General features: G+C 51.4%; 2 long non-coding RNA genes across 4 annotated transcripts, besides 1 other annotated feature; one reads left to right on the forward strand and one right to left on the reverse strand.

Annotated features, from left to right (window-relative positions):
* Positions 1-6,482: 6,482 nt before the first annotated feature.
* On the reverse strand, positions 6,483-10,269 carry LOC105375588 (uncharacterized). 3 transcript variants are annotated; one of them, XR_928227.3, is made up of 5 exons: positions 10,191-10,269; positions 9,034-9,671; positions 8,049-8,275; positions 7,049-7,197; positions 6,483-6,522 (listed from the first exon to the last, which is right to left on the reverse strand). It is a non-coding gene; the product is annotated as an uncharacterized LOC105375588 (long non-coding RNA). The 3 variants fall into 3 exon arrangements; XR_007060610.1 differs by lacking the exon at positions 8,049-8,275 and having other exon boundaries at positions 7,049-7,139; XR_007060609.1 differs by lacking the exon at positions 8,049-8,275.
* A 521-nt stretch (positions 10,270-10,790) lies between these two features.
* LOC105375589 (uncharacterized) lies at positions 10,791-11,643 on the forward strand. The gene is made up of 3 exons (NR_187968.1): positions 10,791-10,950; positions 11,118-11,379; positions 11,511-11,643. It is a non-coding gene; the product is annotated as an uncharacterized LOC105375589 (long non-coding RNA).
* Positions 13,571-14,071: an enhancer, noted in NCBI's record as "H3K4me1 hESC enhancer chr7:155061691-155062191 (GRCh37/hg19 assembly coordinates)". NCBI's record gives its function as "activates a minimal SCP1, AML or CMV promoter by ChIP-STARR-seq in primed H9 embryonic stem cells {active_cell/tissue: H9 hESC(primed)}" and the evidence as "EXISTENCE:reporter gene assay evidence [ECO:0000049][PMID:30033119]".

Raw genomic sequence — 15,970 nt, forward strand, 5'->3', positions numbered from 1 at the left:
ACCTGCTGGCACCCCGATCTCAGACTCCCAGCCTCCAGAACTGGGGGACATGACTGTCTGTTGTGGAAACTCCCAGTCTGTGGTATTTTGCCACGGCAGCCTGAGCTAAGACACTGGCTTTGCATGGCGAGAGCCTGCAGATGATCCAGCAAAAACAAACTGTCCCTAGCAGGCCTGGGGCAAGGGGGAGGACCGAGCAGACCCCATATCCAGCATCACAGGGTTCGTGAGTGAGCTGTTATGCTTGGTGTTGTGTGCAGAGATTAAATGTCCACAGTCTCTGAGTTCACGAGGCTTATCATGTCATGAGGGACAAGACGATAACTCCGGTTTATGCCTGCGTTACTACTTTACCCACTTTCTGTGCGCATGGAAAATGACAGGAGAGCACAGAAAAGCACCCGTGTAGCCCAGAGATGGACACAAGTGCTAAGGAATCCAGATGGAAATGGAATGACTTCGGAGTAGGGTAGAAAGAACCTACTGCTACTATTATCTACTCTTGAAAACCTAAAAGGTTCGGGGGTTTTTTTTGAAAGGCCTCTCCCAGCACAGATAGGAATTGTGTCCATAGTCAAGGGTCACTCCAGCTTCTGATGCTGCAGCTAATATGATTGGACTTTTGCCCAGATTGTTTCGAATTGCCCCTGGGCCACATATTAATTTGTTTCAGATGCTACCTTTTCCCACTGTTAGACATAAAAGAATCAAAGTGAAAAAACAAAGATGCAAAGCCCTGGGATTGTTAAAAAGTTAATTGCTCAGTGTTGGCCTAAATGACAGAAAAGTCCCCAACTTCCTCAAGGTCAGAATTTTACGTGTAAAAAAGGAAACCTTGAGAATTTAGAAAACACTTGCCTCAAATAAGCATCATTAGCCATTGCACCAGTGGCTTCTACACACCAGGTTAAGCCACATCAAAGAACTCCCACGCTCCTAGACCCAGAAAAATAGAAGAAAATAATTAAACAAAGTAATTGGAAGCGCCTGGCAAGGTCAAAGTACCAGGAAATGTCCTTGAGTAAAAAGAAGCCTGGGACTAAGCTGAGCACATCTAAAATCTCTCATATCCAAAGCCTGTATTTTCCTTGGCACGGGAGATGGAGAACTTGATCCTGACCATTGACAAGGAGGCCAGGAGGCTAAATCCGCCACATGCAGGCTTCCTCCTAATACCCTGACGGGACTTCCGGCTTCTGTAAACTTCTGTGGGAAGTAGGCACACGCCGACTTGGGGAAAGTTGACCAGGGTAAGCCTAGAGGAGGGACAATATTATAAACTGTGTGGAAGGTCCCCTGAGACGTTCACAGACTCAGAGGGAGGAGCGGCAGTGCGGACTTGAAAGCAATCCAGGCGGAGCTGCCAAGAGGCTTAGCCACAAGCACGGATCCAGCCACAGAGCTGGGGCGAGGCTGTGAGGAGCAAGCCGAGCCATGGCATGCCGCTCGGTGGTGGGGGAATCTGGCGGCACTGTCCAGGAAGAGCCCCTCTGCCTCCCCGGAAAGCTCCCACCGATGATCCACTGAGATGCACAGACACGACCCAGAGGCCGGCTGGGCTGATCCCACACGTGGCTGGTGGCCAAGGGACTCAGCCGTCCACACCCAGCCACACACAGGAGGCTCGTCCTATGAGACCCTCCTAGGATCCTCGCTCCTGATGTGTCCTCATTCGGCCTGAGCAGTCGCGGCCATCTCGCCTCAGGCTGTCCCCATCTTGCCTCCTACCCACCCCCACGGTCTCCCACTGGCTCGAGCCCCTGCCCTCCCCAGGTCACTTCCAGGTCTGTCTCCATCTGGCTGTGCCACTGTGCTCCCAAGGCCTCCCCAGGGAGCCGTCCCTGCAGGGGACATGTGGCATGGTTTTGCTTTGTAGTCGTGATCTTGGAGAGAGACACTATGCCCTAATCTCAAAGACAGTCCCTAAGGCTGTGAATGTCAGGCCCTTACCAGGCCTGGTGGTAGCAACTATTTCAGAGTAGGCACATTCTTTGGGCTCCTTCCAACCACACGCATGAGTAACACTGGGCCTGCCCAGGGTGAAGATCCAGTGGAAGACATCATGTGGATGAATTCAAGCTGGAAAATAATCCCAATGACATGAATATTTCAACCTAAACTTTGATTTGTACCACAATTATATTTTTTCTGATTACAAAAGTAATGCAATGGCATTGTAAGGGATTAAAGCCTTGTTTTATATGTATATAATTTTTTTTTTTTTGAGACGGAGGCTCGCTCTGTCGCCCAGGCTGGAGTACAGAGGCGCGATCTTGGCTCACTGCAAGCTCCACCTCCTGGGTTCACGCCATTCTCCTGCCTCAGCCTCCCGAGTAGCTGGGACTACAGGCACCCACCACCATGCCCGGCTAATGTTTTGTATTTTCAGTAGAGATGGGGTTTCACCGTGTTAGCCAGGGTGGTCTCAATCTCCTGACCTTGCGATCCACCTGCCTCGGCCTCCCAAAGTGCTGGGATTACAGGCGTGAGCCACCATGCCCGGCCTATATGTATATAATTTTTGTAGACTTGTTCTTTCAATATACCTCCAGGAAGAAACACAGCCTAAATTTACATGAATATGTTTCTGGACTTCTTTCTTCTCCTCCTCCTCCTCCTCCTCCCCTCCTCCTCCTCCTCCCCTCCTCCTCCTCCTCCTTCCCTCCTCCTCCTCCTTCCCTCCTCCTCCTCCTTCCCTCCTCCTCCTCCTTCCCTCCTCCTCCTCCTCCCCTCCTCCTCCTCCTCCCCTCCTCCTCCTCCTTCTTCTTCCTCCTCCTCTCTCTCTCTCTGTCTCTCTGTGTCTCTCTCTCTTCTCTGTGTGTGTGTGGATGTGTGTGTACTCACACAACAGAGCTCTGGAGATGCATGCAGCACACGCATATGTAGATATAACCACTATAAGGACAATATCCTAAGAGCTGAGTGTCCAGGTCACTGATTTTCCTTTCCTTGTTTCGTTGCAAACTCAGGGTGTCACACCTGGGCCGTGTGGAGGCTGAGGGATGGGTGAGGACAGATGGGGATGGGCACCCTGCTGTTGTCTGAGGGCCGTCAGCAAGTCTCTCAATTGGTGATACGTATGGACCTGGGTCCTCATGAGAGCCATCCTAATCTTTTCTCAGTGATGCAACACCGTCTGTTTCCATGCCATCAGTCTTATTACAGGATGATGGCCAAGGAGCTCATCTGAACTGCCAGGTGAACAGTGGGGCCCTACCACATCCCCATCTACCCATAGCTTGGTTTGGGTTCACGGTGCCAAAATCATATCCCCAAGTTATAGTATAGGCTCATTGCCAAGGGAGTTTTCTTGTAAACACTCCCTGGCCCTGGGAACCCTTCTCTGACCTAAAGGAGGCATCGCTGGACTAGGTTCCGGGTAATGCAATCACCTAGTGACCCGTGTCCCCAGCCTGTTCTCAGGTCCTTTGCATTTTCCTCAATGTCCTTCCTGCTCATGCCCTCAGGCCCCTGCTTTTGGGATGTGTGGCCAGCAAGCCCAGTGCAGGAAGTACTGAGCTGCCGACTGCCACTCCACAGAATCACAGGACAGAGCCTCCCAGAGGCAGTAAGTGCAGCGTGGGCTGGAGGAGGCCACCTGCTCCGTTGTGATGAGGGCTGGCCTCTGCTGTGCTTTGATTTATGAGCAATCATGTGTTCACAAAGTACCTACTACTATGTGACCAGTGCAGCAGCCAGCAGGGTCTGCATAACAGTGGCTGCAAGCTCTCCACCCAGACTCCTGCCCTCGTCCATGGGGATGAGGTTGGGGCAGCCTCCATGCAGTTAGCACCTCCTTCCACTCTCCCCCTCCAGCCAGCAGGAGCCACAGTGGGCCACAAGGAGGACTCTGCCCTGAAAGTGGCAGATCCCAGCCCAGGAGAACCTGGGTCCCTGGACGGCAGCCTGGGCCTGCACCCCTGACCCGGGCCGGCCCCCAGGAGCTGTCTTGTCAGCGAGCAGCACCCACGTTTTCAGGTTTCAGCAGCTTAGCTTTATCCTGACCGATGCTTGGCACTCAGGACACGCATCTGCTATCCCTGCTCTCCACTCCCCTAAATCTTGAGGACCGGTGTCCTCTCGGTTATAGCCTAAACTACAAGTGTCATCATCGTCTCTGTGCGTCGGTGGTCAGGAAGTTTGATTGTAGAATATCAGGATGAAACCTTTCCGCCAGCCTCGTTTTCCCTGGACGTGATGTCTGGAGTCAGAGTTAACAAGTCTCCTGCTTCCTGGCTGGAGGCTGCGGTCTTTATTCCTCAGAAGGGGGCCCAGACCGTTCCACTGTTGACATTGTGTCTTCGCAGACGGCTCAGTGGCTCCTTCAGGCTGTGCCCTGCTGTGAATCTCAGCCTCGACTCCAGCCTGGTGCAGGGGTGCAGGGCACAGAGCACACGCCACACAGTCACCGCAGGCCCTGAACCCAGTGGAACCTGCCCTGTGGGGCTGGGGTGTTGCTTAGGACCCGAGACAGCGTCTTCCCTCCAGTTTCTCCCCTTTGGAAGGGGACTGGCTTTCTTCTGCCTGTCCCACCATGGCATTTGGGAAGCAGATAACCTGTTTTCCAGACAGAAGATGCCACACCCTGTGAAGACATAGACTCTCAGGGAGAAGACCCCAGAGGACAGAGGCAGGGCTGGGGGTGACATGTCCACAGCCAAGGAACACCAAAGACACCAAGCCACCATAGTATGCCAGTAGAGAGGCCTGGAACAGACTCTCCCTCCCACCCTCGGAGGGAGCCTGCCCTGCCGACACCTTGACTTCAAACTTCCGGCTTCCAGGATGACGAGAGCATCAGTTGCCCTCACTTTAAGGTCTCAAGTTCTGTACATTCTGCACATTCCCAGAAAAGGTTGGTCACAGCAGCCTACAGTATTTCAGTTTAGCGTATTCTTCTGTGTTCAGTGCATATTCCCAACACGGTCTAGAACGCCCTTTACTTCACAAGCACAATTCCATAGTAAAACTTAATAATGGTGCTCTGGGCCAGGCCATTTGATCTGGCTGGACTGTGTTCCCTGGCTGTGCCCTGAATGTGTCACCTGCAGCCACACAGGGCGCCCTCTCATTCTTGCACTGACCCAGCTCCTAAACAGCAGCTTTCCAGCAGTGGTTCCTGGACTTCCAGAGAGCTTTTCTGCCACAGTGGACATTGCCATCCTTTTTTTGGCCACCAGGCATCTGAAATCCTTCCCAGTGTTTGGTGAATCCTCCAACTCGTGACACAGGATCTGAACGTAGCTACACTACATTCAGAAAGTGCAGAGGCCAGCACTCGCTTTGCCCACAGGGGCACTCGCACCCATGAGCCTAGCTGCAAGCCTACCCTGCCGGGAAGCTAGTGACTCCCAGAACTCAGACGGCTCAGACACCACCCTGGATGGCCACGCCGTTCCCATGGGCAGAGGTGTCAGCAGGTCTAGCGGCAGCCTGCAGCCTCTAGCCTGAGGTCCCTTCTGTGTGTGCAGCCAGTAGTGCTGGTGGTAGAGACTTCCCTGAGCGGGTCCCAGTGTCCTTTTTCCCAGCATCTTTCTCGCTGTGGTAGGCTAGGAAACTCGTTCTCCTCCCCACGCCACCTCCATTCCTTGAGCTAGACAATATATAATTCTTTTAATAATCGCTTTAATAATTTAAAGGAATATTTAAATACTCTTTTAACAATTCCTTTTCTGCTTCAGTTACCCAGAGCTGTGTTCTGCCACCTCCCACTGAGAACCGTAAGTGGTTCTTTCCTCCGTAAGCACATACTCCTGTTTGACATGAAAATGTCAGCAGAGATTTTTCGGCGTGATCTAAAGAATGCGATCTTGGCGGCCGTCTACCACACAAGGAGGAGGGCACGTGTGGATTTCCTGGCCTTGCACAGTTGGTGATGAAAGCGGAGTTGCCTAGTGATCAGCTGACTTGTGATCAATTACAATAATGATGGAATTTCAAGGTCAATGTCGTGCTGGTTTTTTTTTTTTTGCGAGCTCATCTTTTCTGCTTAAGGAGAAAATGCTAGATAAATGCATCTCCATGTGGGCCTGGACCTCTCCATGTTGCTCTGTCTTGTCTGTGGATGTTTGACAGAGACCGGAAGACCTGCAGACCAGCCTGCCAACACCGTCTGTCAATGGGGTGCCACTTTCACGGCCCTCCCCTTCCCATCAGCCTTAGCCCAAATCACCCTCCAAAATCACCAACCATAGGAAACATCTTTAATGTAAACTAATTCCTTCACACTGAAAATGTTTACAATTTAGCTGGGTGCGGTGGCTCACACCTCTAATCCCAGCACTTTGGGAGGCTGAGGCGGGCAGAAGGCTTGAGGTCAGGAGTTCAAAACCAGTCTGAGCAACATGACGAAACCCTGTCTCCACAAAAAATTTAAAAAATTAGCTGAACATGGTGGCACATGCCTCTGGTCACAGCTACTTGGGAGGCTGAGGTGGGTGGATTGCTTGAAGCTGGGAAGTTGAAACTGCAGTGAGCCAAGATTGCACCACTGCACTCCAGCCTGGGCAGCAGAGAAGGACCCTGTCTCAAAACAAACAAACAAAAACCAAAAATGAAATAAAATGCTTACTGTCGGCCCCCTTTCTCTGCAGAGGTCCAGATGAGGAGCCTCTAATCAAGGTGGTGACTGGGCCACACAGCCACGCCCTTCCCTCGGGGTGAGCCCTTCCCTAGGGGTGAGCCCTTCCCTGGGGTGAGCCCTTCCCTCGGGGTGAATCTTTCCCTTGGGGTGCACCCTTCCCTCGGGGTGAGCACTTCCCTCTGGGTGCAGCCTTTGCTCGGGGTGAGCCCTTCCCTCGGGTTGAGCCCTTACCACAGGGTGCGCCCTTCCCTAGGGGTGAGCCCTTCCCTCGGGGTGAAACTTTCCCTTGGGGTGCGCCCTTCCCTCAGGGTGAGCACTTCCCTCTGGGTGCAGCTTTGGGGTGAACCCTTCCCTCGGGGTGCAGCCTTCACTCAAGGGTGAGCCCTTCCCTGGGGGTGCAGCCTTCGCTGGAGGGTGCATCCTCCCCTCGGGGTGCGCCGTGGCACATGTTGCCTCTCCACTCACTGCTCTTTCTTGGCTGCCTCCTTCCTGGTGAGTCCTTTCCCGCTGTTGCTCACTATCTGCGGATTTCTGATCACTTGTCTTCCCTCTTGAGCTTGGTGAACAGACCAGGAGGAGGGCACAGGATGACCCCCATGGCTCCCCGAACATTTCTAAGACCAAAACCAAAAAGCCCAAGGGGAGAGGACCGGACCCCACTCAGGGCTCAGAAAGCTGATGCCTGGCGCCCCGCAGTGGCGTGGGGTGGTCTTGCGTGGCTGTGGACCCCTCAACCAGGCAGGCGAGAGCAGGGAGGGAAGTGGGTACAAGTGAGCAAGTGTGTGAGTGTGTGGGAGTATGACTGTTAGTGTGTGTGTGTCTGAGTGTATGTGTGACTGTGTATGTGTGTCTGAGTGTTAGTGTGTGTGTGAGTGCGTGGGAGTTTGTGTGTCTGAGTGTAAGTATGTGTGTCTGAGTATATGTGACTGCGTATGTGTGTCTGAGTGTTAGTGTGAGTGTGTGTGTCTGCGTGTTCGCGTGTGTCTGAGTGTATGTGTATGTGTCTGAGTATGTGTGACTGTGTATGTGTGTCTGAGAGTTAGTGTGTGTGTGTCTGCATTTAGTGTGTGAGTGTGTGTCTGAGGGTTAGTGTGTGTGTCTCAGTGTTAGTGTGTGGGAGTGTGTGTGAGTGTGAGTGGGTGTCTGAGTGTTAGTATGTGTCTGAGTGTTAGTGTGGGAGTATGTCTGAGTGTGTGTATCTGTTAGTGTGTGAGCGTATGAGTGTGAGTGTGTGCATGCTGGGAAGAGACATGGGCTAAGAATAAAACACTTTCCCAGAGTGTAGCAAATAATAGCAAAGTTCACCCATCAGTTCTCCTGCCTTAAGCAACTATGGGCTTTCACTCTTCAACTTTCTTCTCTCTCTCTCTCTCTCACACACACACACACACACACACCATGAGACCTCTTCTGAGCTCTCCTGGCAAGGTTGGGCTCCCTGCTGCCCCCATATCCCCTCACTTACACCAAGTTCCGTCCCCCTGACTGGAATGTTTGGGGTGAGAGCCCCTCCTTTGTCCTATTTGCACCAGCGTCAGCTGAACGTGTTAGGAAGTGTGACCGCCGCCTCTCATGGACCCCAGAACAACCTCCTGTTCGCACAGGGGCCCACTCCTAATCTTCTGGAGTTGGCATCATGGGAGATGACCAAACTCTCCTGAAAAGTCTTGCGCAGTACCATGATCAATAAAACTAGGAGAGTATAACAGAACGCTCTGAATTTGGAGCCAGAAAACCTTGATTCAGGTCCTTCATGTGGCCTTGGGCAAATCACTTAACCTTTCTGAGCCTGTACCCTCAACCGTATCTTCCTGTTTCTTAAGATCAATGTGAGGTTTAATGATAAATAACTCTTAAAAGGGCTTTGCATCATGCTTGGGCATTTTGGCTATTCAAGAACCTCGCGCTGCATGAAGAAAGATGCATTCTGTGTGACTCTGGAGGCTTTTCGAGCAGAGAGAAACAGCAGGTTCACAGGTAAGAACCAGGAAGGCCATGTGGGCTGGGAAGATGGTGAGGCAGCTTTGAATGCAGCAGTGGTGTGGGGGCACAGGGTAGGGGGAGGTTAGATATGCAACTGACTTCAGAGTTTCCTTCTCAGCTTCCCTGGATGGGAGTTAGTGTTAGGATCATAAGTCAGAATACAATTGGGATCGTAGAAATTTCCCAATTCTAGTCACTCTGTGCTCAGGTACAACTACTTAAGCACGATCATTGTCTCGGTCCAGGACACATCCATTCACACATGCACACACACACGCCATGTGTGCACACATAGGTATATACAAGCATTACATGCACACACCCCCACATGTATATACACATATAGACACACATGCACACACCCACATGTGCATGCACACACCCATAAACAGGCACACACGTGTGAGCACAGGCATAAACATGCATACACTTACGCACACACATGCATACATGCCCCTTAAACTCACTGCAGAGTCTGAAGAGAGGTTGTTGACTTGAGGAGCAGCACTGTGCGTTTAAATGAGGCAAAAGAAAGTTGACCACCCCCAGCCTGACCAGGAGTTGTGGTTGGCCAGGAAAATAATATTTGGAGCTCATGAATAAAGAAGTCATGATGACTGAGATGGGGGCACTCGTCTCCACCCAAGGCACCTGCCAGGCAGTTGCATCACTACCTCGCCCCTGTGCCCCAGGGCTGTGAGCCCTCCTGGCTGCCAGCAGTGCCTGAACTCAGAACCAACAGGACCTTGGGGCACAGCTCCGTGGCCCTTTCAGTGACCGCCCTCTTCTTCCTCTTGCAGCCCTCGGCTTGTTCCTCCTCCTGCTCACACTTCACCCTTCACCCTGGCTGACCTGCGTGTGCCAAACACGGTTGTGAGCTCCCACAGAACGAGGAGAGGCAGCCCGTTCCGCTGCATCTCCCCAGGGCACCGGCAAGGACAGGCAAAGCCTCGTTGACTGAATTCACGGAGAGCAGAGACTGCGCCCAGGCCTCGACCCCAGGACTTCTGTGTTGTGTGAGACGTGCTAGTGATGCCGCTTTAAGCTCTGCTTTGAAAATGGTCCTTTGACAGATTCTGAATGCAAGTGGCCTCCTTACGAGATCCTGCAGAATAACAAGGACAACTTATCACAACTTCCTCATTGTAAAATCCAGCTCAGATTGCAGTTGAAGATCACAAATGCTCTCTGTTTCACTTTGCGATGTTTGTGGTGTCTAATACAGCAACACAAGCCTAGGTTTCTGTGCAAAGACTTCCTTATTGTTTATTTACTATCCACTTCCTCTGAGCAGGACTGATCGACTTTTCACTTCTTAGGCCCCTGGTGGGTGGCCTAACATTGGGAACGTCTCTGGGAATCAATGGCCTCCCATGCTATTGCCCTAAGAGGAAAAACTATGGACCCATTTCCGGCTCGTGAGTTGGAAGTGGAGGTCTGCTGGCGGCCTTTGTCTCCCTGCCTTCCCCTCCTGTCACTGGCTGGAACATGTGCTTGATGCCTGGCGTTCAGCAGCCCTGTTGAAACTGTGAGGTGACTGGCAGGTGTCAGAAGGAAAGCAAACTGCCTAGTGACGGCAGAGGCTGCATGCACTCCACTGCCCTCTGCTCCACTGTCCACTCACCTCCGCTGGCTCTGTGCCCCAAGGCCCTGGCCTCTATGGCCGGCATCCATGGGCTTCCCTATCCTCTGGCCTCCAGGTGGATTCAGTCACAGCAGAAGCTGGGAGGGGCAGCTGGAGGTTGGAGAAACATGAGGCTAGTGTCCAGTTCCCTCCCTGGCCGAGGCAGCCGTGGAGGTGCTCCTTTCCAGGAAGCCAGCACTCCTTTCCGGTGGTCCTGCTCTGACCACGGCAGCTCGAGCTGAGCACAGAGTGACGGCTACAGCTCCCTCCACATCTGGCCTGGGGTGGGAACAGCTCCTGGATGCTTCTTCTTCCTGTGCTGGCATCCCTTAGTCCCTCCCACCTTTTTTTTTTTAATATAATAAACCTGCTTTGTTCAATCCTCCTCAACCACCCACTGAAGCAAGCCCTCCTTTCCTTGCCGGGACCCAGAGAGCTGCTGGGAAAGAAAGGGTGGGCCCCCCGCAGTGTGGTCAGCACCTGGGCAGACCCCACCCACCTTCTATGATGAAAGCCCTGGATGGATTCCTATCCCCACCCTGAGCTCCTCCCCTAACTCCCCAAAACATTGGGAAGATGGGCCTTCTGTCCTGGAAGGGCCAGTCTCCTGGGCAGAGCGCTATGCATAAGAAGGAAAGCCGTGTTACTCAATGGTTCTACTGAACCACTAAGCAACAGGGGCTCTGGGGGCACTGTGGAGATAGAGAACCCTTAGGAAGGCGATGCTGGATCCTATGGGTCTCAACAGAGGGCCTTACGGGTAGGCCCTGTAGGAGGGACTGGGAGGCACAGGTCCCAGGAACACGTGTGCTGGGCACACGTGAGTACATGCAGGGTCAAAGCTGGCAGGCAGACGGGTTGAGCCTCTCCGTGCTCCCACGGGGTCTGCATCAGATTTTGCACTTAGCAAGCGAATTTGCTTCCCAGGGCCACTGTAACAACCAACCACGAATGGGAGGCTCAACACAACTGAAACGCACGTCCTCACAGTCCTGGAGGCCCGAACTCCAAAACCAAGGCGCCAGCAGGGCCACGCTTCCTCCACGGAGCCTCGGGGAGCAGACGGTCTTGAGACGAGACTTGCTCCCGCAACCCTTTCCCAGCTGCAGCTGCCTCTCCGCCATCTCTGCCTCCGTGGCCACGCGGCATCTTCTCCCTGGCATGGGCTGAACCACCGCATCTCGGGCAGGTCTGACGGCGTTTCTATCAGCACAGCCCACAATGATGGTCTTCTCCCTCGCTTCCTGATTTTGTTTGACATCCAACCTCCTCTCAGATGCTGTAAACTATAAGCTGTACCATTGTTTTATGCACTAACAGGGAAGAAAAAAATGCTGGCAACTAAACCGTGAGGTCCCTTCAAGAGTAAAATGGAACCTAAGAGGAAGACGGAACCTAACAGAGATGTCGGGAGGAGAAGCAGCATGCATCTTAGAATTGATAAGCACGATACATGACGACAGGTGTTTTGGTTTTTTGTTTGTTTGTTTGTTTGTTTTTGAGACAGTCTCGCTCCCTCTCCAGGCTGGAGTGCAATGGCGTGATTTCAGCTCACTGCAACCTCCACTTTCCGAGTTCAAGCGATTCTCCTGCCTCAGCCTTCCAAGTAGCTGGGATTACAGGCACGTGCCACCACACCCGGCTAATTTTTGTATTTTTATTAGAGATGGGGTTTCACCATGTGACAACAGGCTTTTTAATTAGACACGCCCACCCCCATCGTGAGGTCATCGTTTTCTGCCGGGAGCCTCCTGGGCCCTGCAAGGTTCCATGTTGTTCCGGCTGTGTTGGACACTGCTGCCAACGGCTTTTGGTTGCTCACAGGACTGGGTGGTGCTAATCCTAAGGACTGTAGGGGGCGGGGGGCGGCATCTGCAGGGGAGAGCACTGGGAGCACGTGGCCCTGCAGGTGTGACCAGGACCCAAAGAGCTCCTGGCATATAGCAACTGCTCAAACCATGTCTGCTCAGGAACAAGCGAGTGAATAACTGTCCAAATTCTTCATTTGAGAAATAAGGCACAGATATGGTTTAGCTGGGTCCCCACCCAAATCTCACCTTGAATTATAATAACCCCCACATGTCGAGGGTGGGGCCAGGTGGAGATAATTGAATCAAGGGGTTGGTTCCCCTCACACCATTCTCATGGTAGGGAATCAGTCTTATGGGATCTAATGGTTTTATAGAGGGGAGTTCCCCTGCACACGCTCTCTTGCTGCCACCATGTAAGATGTGACTTTGCTCCTCCTTTGCCTTCTGCCATGATTGCGAGGCCTCCCCAGACATGTCAATTAAACCTCTTTCCTTTATAAGTTACCCAGTCTTGGGTATGTCTTTATTAACATTGTGAGAACAGACTAATACAGGCACCTCGGCCAGAGGGGAAAAGGGCCTCTCCATAGTCACACAGCAAGGATAGCAGATCAAGACCCAGCCTGGTCTCCTGATGCCTCATCCCATGACATCTCCACCACCCCCTGCCCTGGCCTCTCATCTTTCTACCCAGGCTGAGATCACAGCTTCCACCAACAGGAACTGGGGCAGGAGCTGCAGTAGACACTGGAGCTGGCTCCATTGTGACCTCATTCATAACTTTCCTATGAAAGAAATCCAAACTTTACATCCAGAAGAGTTTCAACCCAAAGTGCTGGGTTTGCACTTAGCAGTGGAAGCCTGAATTGGATCCATTCTGTTTTCTGCTGGAAGAGGCTGATGTAAAATTATGTCTACTTTAGGTTTGATACAAAGGTGGGGTTAGAGAATGGGGAGGGAACTGTTGTTTTTCTTCTCACCCCTTTCCAAGTGGGCCCCTTTTTACAATGCGTATCGGTTTTGTGGTCTGTACGGTGCCAATGATAACAGAACCCACTTGGTTGCATTGTGCAGAGTGGAGCTAACATACACTGAGAATTTAGGGTTGTGCCTGGCACAGAGCAAGGCCCATATATGTGCTTGCAATGATAAATAGTAAGGAAGAATGAACCAAAGTGTTCACACGAGGAAGCTCTGACGAGAGAAAAATCCAAGCTAATGAAGACATGCAGTTAAATGAGAAGTTCAGGTCCTGAAACTGTCTCTGTTATGTCCATCAGGCAGGTTCTTAGCTGCAAGCAACAGAAACTGACTCCAGCAGATTTAAGCCAATATGAGACTAATTGAAAATCTCATATTGGGAGTAATTCACAGAACTGCTGGAGAACCCGGCTCAGACGTGAGTCAGAAACGAGGGAGAGGCCGAGCAGCAGCAGGACCAGGAGCCCAGCCAGGGGCCTGGGGGGCAGCAATACTGCAGCTCCAGGGCCAGCACAGGTCAGGACTGGACACGGGCCCAGTGCCACTGACCCACTGCTCCTGAAGAGGGGATGAAGCCACCTCCGAAGCCAAGGATGCTGGCCTTTTGCCTTGTGCCACCAGCTTCCACTTTAGAGCTGGCTGTGTGTGCTGTTGGCTGAGTCTGGGTCCTGCACCTGCACCCAGCAACCAGGGCAGCTGGGAGGTCTGTATATCCCCAAGATTCACCTTGCCAGGCCGGCAGGGGGGTCAGGGGCTGGGAGCTAAACATCCAGTGTCTGCCTCATTGTATGGTCTCAAGTAGGTCGCTTTTGTTTGGTTGGTTTTTTAAGGCAGAAGAAAACGCACTGAAGACACTCTAGACATTGTGCAATTTCATTTGGGGTTTGTTTTCTTTATTATTTTCCTTCCAAGCCCATGACAGTGCATTTGGAATGTGTTGTTTTTATGACGATGCACAAAACAGCGATGCATAGGTTGAAGTAAGGGATGAACTCTGCCCCATTGCTTCACGGACGATGCGTGCCGACAGCACACTCTCGGTCTCCTCCAAACATCTCCACGTGACGGCACCAGGAGTGAAGGGCAGGGCAGGGAAACAAAAGCAGAGGTCATTTTGCAGTAGGGGTGGCAGCAAATGCAAATGACCCGCGATCTGCAGGTGGGACCACTGGCACCCAAATGTGTCACATCTATAGAAATTAAACATAAGCCGAGCACAGTGACTCATACCTATAATCCCAGCACTTCGAGAGGCCGAGGTGGGTGGATCTTCTGAGGTCAGGAGTTCGAGACCAGCCTGGCCAACATGGTGAAACCCCATTTCTACTAAAAATACAAAAATTAGCTGGGCGTAGTGATGGGTGCCTGTCTTTTCAGCTACTCAGGAGGCTGAGGCAGGAGAATCGTTTGAATCCAGGAGGCGGAGGTTGCAGTGAGCCAAGATTGTGACATTGCACTCCAGCCTGGATGACAAGAGCACAACTCTGCCTCAACAATAAAAATAAAGAAATTAAACATAATGTCGAGTGTCACCAGGTACAGTCCCACATAAACAGCCACTATTTTCCACTCATCATTCAGGTGAGAAAAACTTTTCTCTTGTCATTGCAAAACATCCGTTCTGACAAACCCAGAAGAAACTTCTTGAATTGTAGCAACTTAATGTATTTCTCAACCACAAAAAAAGAGTTCCACCTGCACGATTTGGTGTAAATGTAAATAATGCCAGAAAAACACAGGGTGACAAGGAACAGAGGAAGCCACAATTTCTTATCAGTTTCTTCCACTGATAGGCCTGACTTTTGATCTCATTGATTATCAACCCCAATACACACATGGAGAATAATGTATCAGTAGAGTTTTTATAGCAACAGAATTGGCCTTCAATGATCATCATAGAAGAGAGCAATTATAGAAATAATTTTAAGGTAATTTCATGATATTTATTTTTTCAGCAAAGTATGTAAGTGTCCTTATCCCTCAATGGATTATGGATGTACTTACAGTGTCAGAAATCAAAAGGACAAAATAAAACAAATGTCACACTGGGTCAAAACCATCATTCTGTCTTTGATGGGAGTCCCAGGGGATATTTCTTAGAAGAATATGATGTCATTACGGAGGCTAAGGCTGCACTCCAGATATTCAGTTTTCTATCAGATATGGATTTATTTAAAACTTTCTTGAATGAACTTATTTTTCTTACTTTACGTAACAAGGTCAAAAAGGTAAACCTCTCAGTGTAAAGAGGTGTAAAACCTTTTTCAAGAGTGAATACATTCCTGTCTTAAAGAAAAAATGAATTAACAATCGATCCCACTCTCAAAGGAAATGATAAAGCTATACTTCATTCAAATGGAAAAGTTGGCCAGGTGTCGCGGCTCCCACACGTAATCCCAGCACTTCTGGGAGGCCAAGGCGAGCCCCCATTTTGGGTGTGGGCAGGACTGAGAGTCCCTTCCACATCATGGAGTCCGGGAAGAGCCAGTAGTGACTTTACAGTTCACAGTGGGGACTCTGCCAAACGCTGCCTTCCCAAGTGGTAAAGGCCAGGTTCAGCCGGGATTGATGTTGTGGGTACCAGGACCCCTGGATACTGGGGGATGAGAGGGAACCTCACCTCTGTAGTTTTCAAAACTCCCACAACCCCAGTCTAACGGTGAGAGAAATGTCAGACACTCCCAGTTGCAGGACATTCTATGACACACCTGCCCTGTCCTCCTGAAAACTGCCAAGGTCCTGAAACACAAGGGAAGCCCAAGCACCTGCCCCAGAGCAGAGGTGACCAGGGAGACACAGGACTCCTCCTGGACGGAATCCTGGAACAGAAAAATCCGGGCAACCCAAACACTGCCTAGAGTGCAGATGACCGCATGCACCAATATTGGCTTCATAGTTTTAACAAATGTGCTATGTCGCAGTGGGTCATGCCTCTCATCACAGCACTTTAGGAGGATCACGTGAGCCTAGGAGCTCAAGACTAGCCTG

The sequence above is a fragment of the Homo sapiens genome, chromosome 7 (genome assembly GCF_000001405.40).
Source record: "Homo sapiens chromosome 7, GRCh38.p14 Primary Assembly".
Taxonomy (NCBI): Eukaryota; Metazoa; Chordata; class Mammalia; order Primates; family Hominidae; genus Homo; species Homo sapiens.